General features: G+C 34.7%; 1 protein-coding gene across 10 annotated transcripts in view; it reads right to left on the reverse strand.

The window, feature by feature from the left end:
* NEDD4 (NEDD4 E3 ubiquitin protein ligase) overlaps positions 1 to 14324 on the reverse strand; it is a 166696-nt gene that overhangs the window by 85028 nt on the left and 67344 nt on the right. For 5 of the 10 annotated variants that reach the window (NM_006154.4, NM_001329212.2, XM_011521625.4 and 2 more), the window contains one exon: positions 12702 to 12755. In NM_006154.4, coding sequence (NP_006145.2) covers positions 12702 to 12755 — 54 coding nt within the window. Of the gene's footprint in view, positions 1 to 3339; positions 5193 to 12701; positions 12756 to 14324 lie in introns of those variants that run through there. The other 5 variants (NM_198400.3, NM_001284340.1, NM_001284339.1 and 2 more) reach the window with 2 other exon arrangements.

Consider the following 14324-nt stretch of genomic DNA (forward strand, 5'->3'; position numbering starts at 1 on the left):
CTCAAATGTGTACTGGATGAATTAAACAAGACACATCTACAGAGAATACAAAATGTTTTCAAGCAAACAATTCAGCACTCTGAATCTGTCTGAAATTAACAATTCCTCAGTTCTAAGAAATATACATGTACAAATATACATTTTTCACCAACTTTCTAAAACTAGTCATTAACATTGTGGCATCACATTTTAGAATATTTATAAATTACATTGGTTTATATAAGTGCTGCTCAAAATAAATTTAACCAAATCTCTCTAAATATTCTGCTAAATTTAGTAAAATAAGGACTGGAAAATAATGGAACATTAAAGTAAGTATATATTTAAAACATCTATTTTAGGAAGAACAATAAAATAAGAAAATATTGAAATGTATAATCTTGAGATTAGTGTTAAAGGCTTTGAAATAATTAAGACATAAGTTTATTACAGTTCTACTATACTAGGCTTAAGCAATTTACCTATTTAGGATTAAGTTACATATAATGAACAAAAACTTTTATAACAAAAAGAAAAAATGTAAAAAATAATTCTAATAAAAATATGAATATAAGTAAAGAATGGAAGACATTCAAGCTTGGGAAAAATGCTAATGCACATTAAATAATAGGGTACTGAAATCTCTGAGCATCCTAACAACATAACATAGGAGATTTAGAAAACAACAGATGGGGGAAACAAAATAACAGTAGAGAAAAGTAACTACTATACAGATTTAGAAATCTGAATAGCAATCATTGTTGTAACTGTATACATAGTACCTTAGCTCCTTAACCTGCTTCTTGATTGAACTGACAAAATATTACACATACTGTTAAAATATCAAGTATTTATTTTCAGATCAAAAGTCATTATATAGCCTTTACAAAAGTAATACTGTATTTCAAAAGGCATATGTAATAAACATATGCCAGTCACTGTTATGTTGTTTGCTATGCCTGAAATCAACATTATTATGGAGATAGACTACAAAGTCTCATCTTCACTCTAAGTTGTAAACACAGAACACAGACAGTGTCCCAGATACAGGTAAAAGTTCTCATTAGATTTAAAAAATCAGTCATTAATAAGCTGTTGATTACAGTAAGCTAGAAACTCAATTTTATACTGCTAGAGACTGGTAGCTAAACATATAAGAAAAGAAGTTGTAGACTCTCAGTGCTTTAGAAACCAGGTTCTCTGACCAAAGCAGTGATTTAATTTCACGGCTGCTCAGTACAGATAGCTGACATTACTAAATGCTACTCTAATATCAACTTGTTAAATGTGAATCCGGACTCAGCATATCAGAATACTAACCCAGACTAACTGGAGTCATGGGAAATATTTTGGGAGCTGTTTATTTATAAGTGAGTTACAATATACCACTATAATTAGATTAATATATAATTATTGATAAACACAAGATTATTTCTAAAACCCATTATTGTTGCCACTGCTATATTTAGAAAAAACAACACTAGAATCTTCTCCATAAAACAAGCCTTTGATTTATCAATTAGATCTATTTAGATATAGCATAAATTAAATTTAACTGTCACTATATGGTTTACAATGCTTTTATAAAGAGAAGTCTAATAAACATTAAACGGGGGGACAATTTAAATCTCCAGCAAACTGCACACTTCTGAATTATTTTATAATCCAATAATCTACCAAAAGATAGAATCTGCACAAAGTTATACATTTGATTGTCACAAAAAATATTTAAGTTAGCTTACCTAAGCATAAATAAAACCAGTAACAGTGGATATTTTTAACAATGCAAAAGGCATTTGATCCACATTTCATTAAAAAACACATTTAAAATACTCTTCTCAAAAGCATCCACAACAAACTATAATTATTACCACAAAATAAACTATTTTAAGGTATTTCTACAAATATTTCTACATGAATTATTCCTTTCAGATTATTTCATTAAGTGTAAAATAAATTTATAAGTAACATTAATTCAACTAGCATACTATTAACGTTTCTTCTCAGTGCCACTTCATTTCTTTCTTTCAGGAAGAAAAACAGTTGATTAGATTATAATCTCCTAAAATCTGGTTTTAGAAAAGTTTCCTAAATGGAATTTAAAATTCTAAATTATAGATCAGAATTTGAAATCTGATCTTTTTTTATCCTTAGTAAAGTAGTGGCTTATATTAACATCTGGGCATTGGTAACAATTATTATATTTACCAGATTTCAGAAGAGAGAAAATAAACTAGCAATTACTATTTTATTCACCTAAAGTTACTTATCCAGAAGTTTTTTTTTTTAAAACAATCTTTAATAAACATAATGGATGTTACAAAAACACAGATTAAGGTTTTTTCCCCCCAAAACTATGATGTACTGTCATGTAAAATTGCTTTAGTTAGAAAATTTTTTAAATTTCCTGGAATCTGGTAAAACATTCCAAATACAGAAATTTAAAAAATCTATTTCAGTTCAAACCATTTTAAATACTTTGGAACGGCCAAATTACATAAAGAACTTTTGGCTAAGATTCATAAGAGTTAAATTACTAATATAATAAAGCTGAATTGTCAAAAAAATGAAAAGGTAAATAGAAAATTGTGGTAAATGCCTAGCAATTTAAACCAAATTCAAAAATATTAAAACTTAGAATTCAATATTGTTGAAAGAGTGAGTTACATTTTAGAGGGCAGTATTAACTCGTGGCTAAAGAAAAATAGGGTGGAAACAAAATTCCTGTGGTTAAGGGTATATACAAATACAAATGCCATTTATTTTTCCTCTGCTTTAAACATGCAGCATAATAGTTTTTATGAATGATCTTATAAACACATGTATTTGAGATATAGTTTCTCTATGATAATTTATAAAAAGATCTTTACACTTTGATATGGGTTTTTGTTTAATATTTTAAATAAGCATTCTAAATTTTACTCTATTTCATAATGATTAAGAAGAGGAGAAAACAAAATGATCATTTGAAAATAGGAATAAAGTATTGAGCTACACAAAAGAATACTATATCATTTAAAGGAAAAATATGCCAAGATAAAATGTTATGAAATAGACTGTTATTCAAAGTTTGTTTTGTTGTAGAAAGTTTTTTATGTTGTAGAAAAGTTTTATAGCTTAAATCACTTAGGAAGATTTTTAAAAATATACATTTTGTACACTGGTAAAATAACAAATAGAGTAAAAAACTATACATAGAGTTCTTCAGATTTACAAATATAAAATTTATGACTACAAAATACTGCTAGCTAAGGACCAGGAAAATATGTAAAACTGCTTGGTTACAATAAATGTTCTCCAAATATTTCATTAAGTTATTCTCATATAAATTAACATTTACCAAGACCAAAGGAAACTTACCTTGCAAGAATTAGACAGTTCATTTGTGCAATCTCTGTTGCTGTCTCTTGATAAATTATCCACTTTACCTTCATTTCCAGATGCAAACTTTATGAGTAACTGAGATGGTCCCCCTTTAGAACAATTGTGCTTAAGGCTGGATAGACAGGAAATATTTGGATAAGCTCCTCCCAATGAAATACTTCTTCGTAAAATACCATGGTTTTTGTTCATCTGTGAATGTGGTCTTTCCAATTCTCCATTGATATTTATTTGACAATCTACATTTTGGGAGGATGGCAAACATGCAGATGTCCTATGCATGAGCTTAATATACTCTGAATCAGAATTAAGCTTAATTTCTGACATTTCTGGTTTACAATCACCATTTGTTGTTTCACAGTCTAATGTAGCTGCTTTTCGTTGGGTGAAATGCACTGAAACACAAGAATATCCTTCAGATGACTTTTCACAGACAGTCTGTCTGGGAGTATTATTCGAAAGAACAATTTTCTTCTGTAACGAGCCCTTCCTGTGAAGCGGCCGTATGTCTCTTACTTCTCCGGGGGTACAAATTGTTTTAGATAACCGAAGTCCATTGACAGCTGTTGAAAGAAATCCTTTAGCACTAGTGCCATCCTCATTATGTGCAATTTCACTAGGAGAAATAATAAACTGGTGTGAAGTTTGATAGGATCCTTTGCTCAGAAGAGTACACAGACTTGTTGGAGAAGTCGGTCGGGTAGTTGAAGGACTCCTAGGAAAAATGACTAAGGAGGAGTAACGTTTTAGTGGAATTTTTGTGTTCCTGCTCACTGGCAATTTCATAATCTCTAATCCATGTTCCAAGTCATCCTGGACAAAAGGATCTGTACTTGTACTTCTTGAAAAAATTTCACAAGGAGTAGTATTCCTGTTTGGCACACTTCTATTGGAGGTGCTGTCAGAAGGTAAGTTTCCACCCAAAAAAGTATCATCACTTGGTGGAAAAGTATAACTACTACTGTCACTGATGACACTGTTAGTATATGAACCTCCACTTGTGATACTTGCACATGACCCAAAATCACTACCGTTGCTGCTGTAAGACCCATTATCACTGGTTGAAAAGTTACTAAGGCTACCACTACAAATGGCTGGACTGCTTACAAGGTGACCATCATTCACAGCATTCAATTCATTATCGACCACAGCACTACTGTAAATACCATCCTTCAAGATACAAGTAAACGAAGCATCATCACTATCAGCTAAGACATTGCTAGACTGAAGATATCCACTGTACCTTGTTGGCTGTAGTGAAATCTGTAGACAGCTGCTCTTTTTATTAACATTTTCAGATGAGGGAACAGATGATCTTTCTTGAGACTGAACGTTTTCCTTTATTAACGGAGCTAGTGCAGTCTGTCTGGGAGTCAGCTTCATTTGAACAACGTTAGACGTTGAAATCCGTGTTGGTCTTTTGAAGCACATGTGAACATGGCTATCCAAGTCATCTCCGGAGGTTTCTGACAAAGGGTAAGTATTGCTTCTTCTGGCTGCAAAGTGCAATCGTAAGCTTTGTGCCATTTGTTCTCATTTCCAAACATGTTAAGGGCTGAAAGTCATAACAAAGATCTCTGTCCGTAGACAGGCTAGAAGCAGCTGCACTGCATCAAAAGAAAAAATCATTTGTGGTGCCTAAAAGAGCTATTAAGTAGTAGTCTTTATCCTAAGTAAAACATTAGATACCAGATATCATAGAAAGAAAAAGACGACCCATTCCAGAGACTGACGTTTCCAAAATGTCTTGAATCGCTTGTAGTCAAAATGCCTTCACTTACAAAGCACTTGATTTCCAGCGACCTTTAAGCTGAGCTCAGCTGCAGCACACTGACTCAAACACAGCCAACCTTGTTTCAATTATACCTTCTCCAATTTGCATGAATGAGTAACACAAGAACAACAATCTTCTAACATTTCAAGTTGAAACAGTATTTTTTCACCCCAGCTCTACTAAATGAACATTTAACTATGTGAATCACAGTGCCTATACTTTCTCCAGCCGACTTTGCCCACTAATATTTTTACCCATAGGTATAGAATTACAGGAAGTTGGTAGGAACAAAACCCCATGTAATTAAGCATCAAATCAAAGATTGAATTTCCAAATAGTAGCCATACTAGGAATCTAGTCAAGTTAGTTAATATAGGGACTGTTAATTTTTTTTTTTTAATGTGTGAATTCAAACAGTTAGGTAAATTTGGAAATACCAAAACTTTACAATGAATTAAAACTTTAGCACTACATCAAATAGATACATATTTTAGCTTCCAAAGTGCTAGTTACATAAAAAGTGAAAGCTTAAGGACAGAACTACAAAATTAACCTAGTAATACCATTGCAAAACTGAAGCATAGGTTCAAGAAAAAAAGTTTAAGAGAAGCTGTCACTAAGCATTTTCTCCTGTAATTTTAAGGCCTTTTCCAGCCAAGTAGAACAGTCTTTAAATGATGCCATTTATATTTTGACTATTAAAACTGCCAAGAAATAGCCTAAGCAAACATTCCAATAAAAATATATGCAGATTAGAAAAAAAAAACTATACCCCAAGATAGTTTGAACACACAGGATATTTTATTCCACTGTCTCTGCAATTCATTCACTTAAGAGAGTGTTGTGGTAAGTAAAGAAGTCTAAAAAGGATTTAGCACATCAAATAAACATGTCTCAATGCCAATTCTGTTCTGAAAAACTCTAAGAGCTCTTTGCTGGCCCCTGCTGGTACTTTGAAACAATCCATTTAGCTGTTTGATATCTATAAAGAAATACAAACCAAGCTGCACATTTCTTTATATAAACGAAGTACATACTTGTTTACATTTTTGAGAGCTAGCCCTACCCTAGAGGTGGAATTACTCACCAGTGCTGATAAAGCTCCCACAGTAGAGAACAGTGGACTGTTTGTCCTTTTAGAGGTTGTGATTTTGTATATATATTTTTTCTGCTTTGTATTTATTTAACCTTTATTTTCAGTTTACTAGGCAATCAAAATTTAATATTTTAATTTCTCTCTCAAATGCCATAGACCAAGGTTGGTATTCTATTTGAAAGAAACAAATTTATTTTTAAATAATACTCTAGGGTATATTTAAACCCCTCACCTAAATTTTATAGCTGGAACTCCAGTAATAAATATATACTGGCTCATTCATAGGAAAGTAAAAGGTAAAATAGTTCCGTTGTTTATACCACATGCTACTACACCCAAGTTGTATTTTGCTAAGTAAGTTTTTTTTCCTAAGTAAAAGCAAATATGTAAAACATATACTCATACTTTGTTAAAAAAAAAAAACTGCTTAAGATAGATCTGTTTTTGATCAGAATTTTCTAAACAGATTTTTAATCAATTAAGACACAAAACAGAATTATGGGAATTCATTGCATTTCATTTGACTAGAATGAAACAGCCCTGTTTTTGAATGCGTACAATAGTTGAAAACTTAGTAATACAATTATTATGTTATTTTTGCTTTTGTATAAACCACCTCCTTTATGATTTTACAGACTTCAGTCAATATTCTCTTAACATCTTTTTCTTTTAAATAAGGAGGAGTCCTGTTTTACTCTGCCTTCAAATGACTTCAGCGTTCTTTCTGGGATTAAGTGTGGGGTCTAATAACTCAAAGAATGAATCCCTTCTAATAGGCTAATCAATGAGATCTAATTGTTCATGTCTGTGGCCTAAAACTTCCAGGAAATAAGAAAAGCTCCTCTCATTATTAACATATAAAATAATGAACTCCAAGTATTTGGTCAGATAAATGTCTTCTCTTTGGTAAGCTTCACTATAAGCATCAGTTCCATGTCCCCTAACTAGATTTTAACTTTCCAGAGAGCATGGGCCATAACTACACATTTCTTCTGATGCTCCTGAGCTCATCCTGGGCTCAAAGTAAGTACCAGAAGACACCAGATAGAAGTCTGGATGGAGAGATGGATGGTGTCATCACAGTCACTCTGAATGCCTAATGCTTTCTTTCAGGATTTTTCTTGTTGTTGTTGAAGTTGATCCAGCCGCCACTTTTAAAGAAATATCAAAAAGCACTGCAGGTGGACAAGAAAGAATGACGTTTGAAAAATTTACAGAGAGGGTTTCAGCCAAGGAAATGTAAGGTAAGAGAATCACATGCACTTCCTAGCACTCTAGTCTGAGTTTAAATTCTAGGGAGGCTGAACAATTTGCATTGCTGGCTGAGGTCTGAAATTGCATAGGATCTATACTGCTATTATAGCAGTTACATGGGAAATCGGGGAACTTGCTATAAAATGTAGTCTCTCAGTCCAGCAAATACCAAAACAGGAGTGTTAATCCTAACCTTAAGTGTAGAAGAACTGGAGGGACATGGCAGCCCTCATCTGGAAAGAATCCATGCAAGTCCTACATAGAATTTCATATTCCGGAATGAAACAGATAACGTCTTAGGATTGAAGCTAAGAACCTCACATTCAGAGCTGTTGGTTACTGATCATCTACATGGAAAATAATGTGATTATCTACATGGTATGGATAGGCTCTGGGTAATCTTAATCATTGACTGAACTTTGAAGGCCAAAGTCAGCTGCGGTGGTTAATTGTATGTATCAACTTCGATAGGTTATGGTACCCACTTGTTTGGTCAAACATCAGTATAGACATTGCTATGAAGACATTTAGACATGATTAGCATTTAAATCAGTAGACTCTGAGTAGAGCACATTACCCTCCACAATGTGTGTGGGTCTCATCCAATCAGCTGAGGGCTTTGAAAGCAAACACAGGTTGTGTAAGAAGCAGCAATTCTGCCTCAAGACTACAATGTAGAATCCCTGCCTAAGTTCTCAGCTTCCTGGCCTGCCCTGCAGATTTCAGATTGAAGTCTTCACTATATATATATTGTGTGGAAATATATATATTCATATATTATACATAATTTCATATATAAAATATATGAAAAATAAATAATACATAAAATATATACACAATCTATTGTTTCTGTTTCTCTGGAGAACCTTCACTAATACAACTGCTAAACGTGAGAAGCACAGGGTCTCCACCCAGAATATAGGTGGCTCCTAAAACCGGTGGCTGAATGTGTACAGGTGTATATCTTAGACTGGTGACACAGTGCTAACTTTTGCATTGGTGGGTAGAGTTTTTTTAAGACACATCATTCTGAAATGTTCTGTCATTATTGCCACCACTACCACCACCATCACCATAATGAAACGACAATATTTTATAACACTCAAGTCTTAAAATTGGCTGGAAAAAAGTGATATAAGCCTACTCTTTATTGAAAGCAAATATCACTTACATTACAAACGTTTTCCAGATGACTAAAGTTGTTTCTGCTTAATATTATACTTGTGTTCTTCACCCTCCATTTTCCAAGAGAATTTGCTAGGAAAATGGTACATTTTAAATTTAGTTGTGAGTGCCTCAGCAGAATAAAGACGGAATGACATTTATAATGACACAGGTCATTTGTTGCTATACAATCAGGTCTGTTACTCCACCAATGGCTATAGGTTCTATAACATCTCAGGTCATCTCTATACCTCCCTTACCTGCTAAGACTAGCAACAAATCAAGAGGACTAGAATGACACACACCACCATGTTCTAATTATCTTTGGCTCTTTGTTTTGCTGGTAAACCGAGTTTCTCAAGAAAAGCTGTATTTCCCACTCATAGAAGAGCATCTAACACAGTAGATATACTAAATGGTATATCTTAGCTAACACAAGATATACCATATCAGAGAGCTACAAACGCGTTAAGTCTACGAATGTTAAATGACATTTTATATTTGTATCATGATAAAGAATTTTCCAAGTATTTTCATCGTCATTGTCTCATTTTATCCTCACAATATGCTTATGAGATAGGCAGGGCAAATATTGTTGTCCTCATTTTTTAAATGTGAGAAGGTATTTTTAGAAGGATTGAATAATTTGTTTAGGGTTACAAGCTAATACCCCAAAAGAAAGGCAGGATTATAATAGAATTTCTTAGTCCTTAGTGTGGGGATCTATAATAACTTTTTTTTTTTTTCGCCGAGACGGAGTCTCACTCTGTTGCCTAGGCTGGAATGCAATGGTGTGATCTCAGCTCACTGCAACCTCCACCTCCTGGGCTCAAGCAATTCTCATGCCTCAGTCTCCAGAGTAGCCGGGACTACAGGTGCGCACCATCAGGCCTGGCTAAATTTTGTATTTTTAGTAGAGACGCAGTTTCACCATGCTGGCCAGGCTGGTGTCGAACTCCTGACATCAGGTGTTCACCTAACCTCAGGAACACCTCCTGATCCACCCGCCTCAGCCTCCCAAAGTGCTGGGATTACAGGTGTTACAATATTTTGATTAATGTGTTATTTGTTTTTTCATATGGTTAAAAGTTTTAAAAATTTTGTCATATTTATCCATCTATAAATATCCAACTGTTAATATCAAAGGCAATACTTTTTTCTTCCAACCTATCATGACACACTTTATAGTATTATATACACAGTAAATGCTTAAGGAATGTTAATTCACTGATTAGTGTTTGACAAACAGCCATTCTGGCCATTAAGAAAGAGTCACGCAAATACTAAAGTTACTGGCAAAATGGACCAGACAATTAAGCATGGTGGAAAGCACAAATGTGAGCTGTCCCTCCTTGTGGACAACATGCAAATAACGCAAATAAAATAGTTCACCAATAATACACTCAATGATCAGGCAAAATTCACATCGGTATCAGTGGCAACAGGAAAAATAACAGTAATACCATGATCTAGCAATTCAACTCTAAAACATATCTCTTAGAGATAGACTCAGACACGTACATAGGGAGACATAAAAATGTTTATCAATTTGTAAGAGCAAAATACTGGAAATAACACTAATATCTATTAAGGAGGTTAAATACATAAATTATAGCATTATGATTTTTCAGAATATAGAAAATTATGCATCATTGAAATGTGTAATCACAGATCTCACAAATATAATGTTAAGCAAAAAAGCATATCAGAGGAATGTCTATAGAGATATACTATTTTTACAAATTAAAAAATATGCAAAATAAACAATGTGGGTTTTTGCTTTTTTGGAGACAGAGTTTCGCTCTTGTCACCTAGGCTGAAGTGCAATGGTGTTATCTTGGCTCACTGCAACCTCCACCTCCTGGGTTCGGGCAAGTCTCCCAACTCAGCCTCCCAAGTAGCTGGGACTACAGGTGCCCACCATCACGCCTAACTAATTTTTGTATTTTTATTACAGACAGAGTTTCACCACGTTGGCCAGCCTGGTCTTGAACTCCTGACCTCAGGTGATCCACCTAACTCGGCCTCCCAAAGTGCTGGGATTACAGGCATAAGCAACCATGCCCGGCCAACAATGTGTTTTTTGGGGATATATATACATGTGATAAAAGTATTTTAAAAAGCAAAGAATGATAAAAACAAAATTGAGGACAGTGGCTAGTACTTGTGGAGGAAGAAAAGAAGATGCTACTAAGGAGGGATCTAGGGAGGGTTTCAAAGATTTTGGTAATGTTCTAGTTCTTAAGCTGAGTAACGTGTATACATATTTGTCTTATTATTTAAAATATTTATATTATGTGGGCTTTTTTGTATGTATATTTCATGAGTTAAAAACAAAACACACACAAAAACTCCACCAATACAAAGTTTAATTTGTTTCCATCTAGAAGGGACCAGCCTGGCCAACATGGTGAAACCCCGTCTCTACTAAAAATACAAAAATAAGCTGGGCAAGGAGGCGGGTGCCTGTAATCCCAGCTACTTGGAAGGCTGAGGCAGGAGAATAGCTTGAACCTGGGAGGCAGAGGTTGCAGTGAGCTGAGACTGCGCCACTGCACTCCAGCCTAGGCAACAGAGTGAGATTCTGTCAAAAAATAATAATAATAAATAAAGGAAAACAGGTCTATAGATTCAGAGGGGAAAAAAAGGAAAACATTTTATATTCTTTTAAACAAGCAAAAACACAGACAGAAAACAAATAGCTCTGTAACTAACCATATCTGATAATCAAATCAGCAACATCTGTCACTTAGCCTTAAAAATTAGATGGCCAGGCTGGGCATGGCAGCTCATGCCTGTAATCCCAGCACTTTGGGAGTCAGAGGCAGGCGGATCACGAGATCAGGAGATCAGGACCATCCTGGCCAACATGGTGAAACCCCATCTCTACTAAAATTCACAAAAATTAGCCAGGTGTGGTGGTGAGCGCCTGTGGTCCCAGCTACTAGGGAGGCTAAGGCAGGGGAACTGCATGAACCCTGGAGGCGGAGGTTGCAGTGAGTTGAGACTGAGCCACTGTGCTCCCACCTGGCGACAAAGCGAGACTCCATCTCAAAAAAAAAAAAAAATATATATATATATAGCAAGTCAGTGATAGTCTTCTTTGGCAGCAATAATGTACTTTTGCTTAGTATGATGTTTATTAAAGATTTCATTGGCAATATCTTTAGTTGCCAGTATAATTACCATTTCTTGAGGGCAAAAAAAACATGAATGTAGTTTAACACTAAAAACAGACTTTTTTTTAAAAAAAAAGCTAGTTTCTCTGTTAGCTAAAAAATGAACAAAACTGTTTAATTTTTCTGGTGCTTGTAACTGATAAGCTTTGCACACATAACACTGTTTCTATACTTACCTGTTCAAATCTTACAGGTTTAAAATATAGATGTAAGATGCTAAGATGAGGGTTTGAGATTGGATCCTCAGAGACAAAATTAGGAAAAGGATAGGACTTTAAGAGAGTCTTTAGGAATTCAGAAATCAGAACAATCATTTTATAAAAAGAACATCAGGTTTAACTTTGCTTTTTGCTTCTGTAAGAGCTGGCCATCTTTGAGAAGACTTTATTTGCTCATTCCTTATCAGTGTAAAAAGGACAGATTTCCTCTGTAGAAGAGTGGGGATGAGAGAGTGGATAGGATGTCCATTGGATACAGGTAACCCTAAGAAAGGCCACTGTAGTGAGGAGGCGCAACTGAAGGATACCCTGGGAAGATTCCCAGAGCCATGGAGTAGGAACCAGGGGTCATGGGCGAGTGAGAGGGAAGGCAGGACAAAGAGGTTGGTTTTCTGTCCTCTCCTGTCACAAGAGGTCTTGAGTAAGACCTTATAATATGTTGGCAATCAGAAGAGGTGCTTGGGAGGAGAATGGAAAGGGAGCGAGTAGGACCAGGAGGAAGAAAACAAATTCTATCTCCCTCACCATTTTGCCCAGAGTCTCCATAACCACCCCCAAGCCATCACTCAAATCCCAGACTGCTTACCCACTTCCCCTGGCTGCTCCACTGAAATGTACCCTTACTTCATATTTCATATAAGCACAATATAACTTACCAATCGGTTTTCGTCAAACACTTCAAAAAGAAGCCGGTGCTGCTGAGGATGAACCTAAGAAAAACACAATCTTTATTTAAAAACAAGTAAACATCAACCCACAGATACTCAGAAATAAATGCTTAAAGATGCTGCCATTTGGTCGGGCATGGTGGCTCATGCCTGTAATCCCAGCACTTTGGGAGGCCGAGGTGGGTGGATCGCCTGATGTCAGGAGTTCGAGACGAGCCTGGCCAACATGGTGAAACCTCGTCTCTACTAAAAATACAAAAATGAGCCAGGTATGGTGGCATGTGCCTGTAGTCCCAGCTACTTGGGATGCTGAGGCAGGAAAATCGCTTCAACCTGGGAGGTGGTGACTGCAGTGAGCCAAGACTGTGCCATTGCACTCCAGCCTGGGCGACATAGAGAGACTCCATCTCAAGAAAAACAAAACAAAACAAACAAACAAAAAGAAGTTGCCATTTTCTAATTCCGATTATTTGGAATGCATTTTAAAATTACATGAAATAAGAGCAGACTAGTCATGTGTCACTCATTTTCTAGTAGTTTCACAACAACAACAAAGTGAATCTGGTTGTTTATTTTTCAGATTTTTCTAACAGAACGAAAGGAAGTAAAAGAAAATTTCAAAAGATTACTTAAATGTTTGCAAACGCTTATAAATACAGATTAGATTTTGACACCTTATGATCAGTTTTATTTACTTGCTTTTTATTAATCAGTTTAGAGCCACCCAAAGTGGACATTTTTCAGAAACTAGTGTTGTGAATCCTTTTATTATTGACTTAATAAAATTACATGTTGCTTTTACTATATAAAGTACATAGCAGTCAAAAGTATACACTGCGTTTTCACTTAAGGTTTAAGCTTTGTAGCACATGAATAAAAATTACAAGCAATATTTTGTTTTTCAAAGCCAATGCTTTCATTCTTGTGGGAATGTTTCGATATCAAAATAAAAATCGCCTACTATATATATTATATTGAACACTGTGATATCTTAAAACATTGGTGTACATGTCAAAACTATTGATAGAAAAAAGTCCTATGCTTGTGACAAAGATATCTAGATACCTAACTCAGTGTCTACTTTTCCCTCTGAGAACATAATCCTAGTTTTACCTACAGCCACGTTCCCAGGCTCATCACACTGCACACCTCTTGAGGAAACCACTAATTTTTGAAAACTGAAGTACAACACATATTCAATGAAGTATAAAGTATACTAATGTTGGGATGAGGAAGAAAAAAGTATACTAATCTTAACTATATAGCTTGATAACTTTTTACATATACATACTGTATCATACAGTATGTATATGTAAAAATACATATACATATGTATCATATACATATACAGTATGTAAAATACATATACGTATGTATCATATACATATACAGTATGTAAAATACATATACGTATGTAAAAATACATATACATACTGTACATGTATATGATACATACGTATATGTATCAAACCCAGATAAAGATATTGAATACTCTGTTCTATTCTATATATTGTTTTTTTGTGAATGGTGTCCTATGGAATTGTTTAACATGGAGACCCTGAATATGTCTATCTAGAAATGTATCCCTTGTACCTACGGGCAACCAATGAA

This window comes from Homo sapiens, chromosome 15 (assembly GCF_000001405.40).
Source record: "Homo sapiens chromosome 15, GRCh38.p14 Primary Assembly".
NCBI lineage: Eukaryota > Metazoa > Chordata > Mammalia > Primates > Hominidae > Homo > Homo sapiens.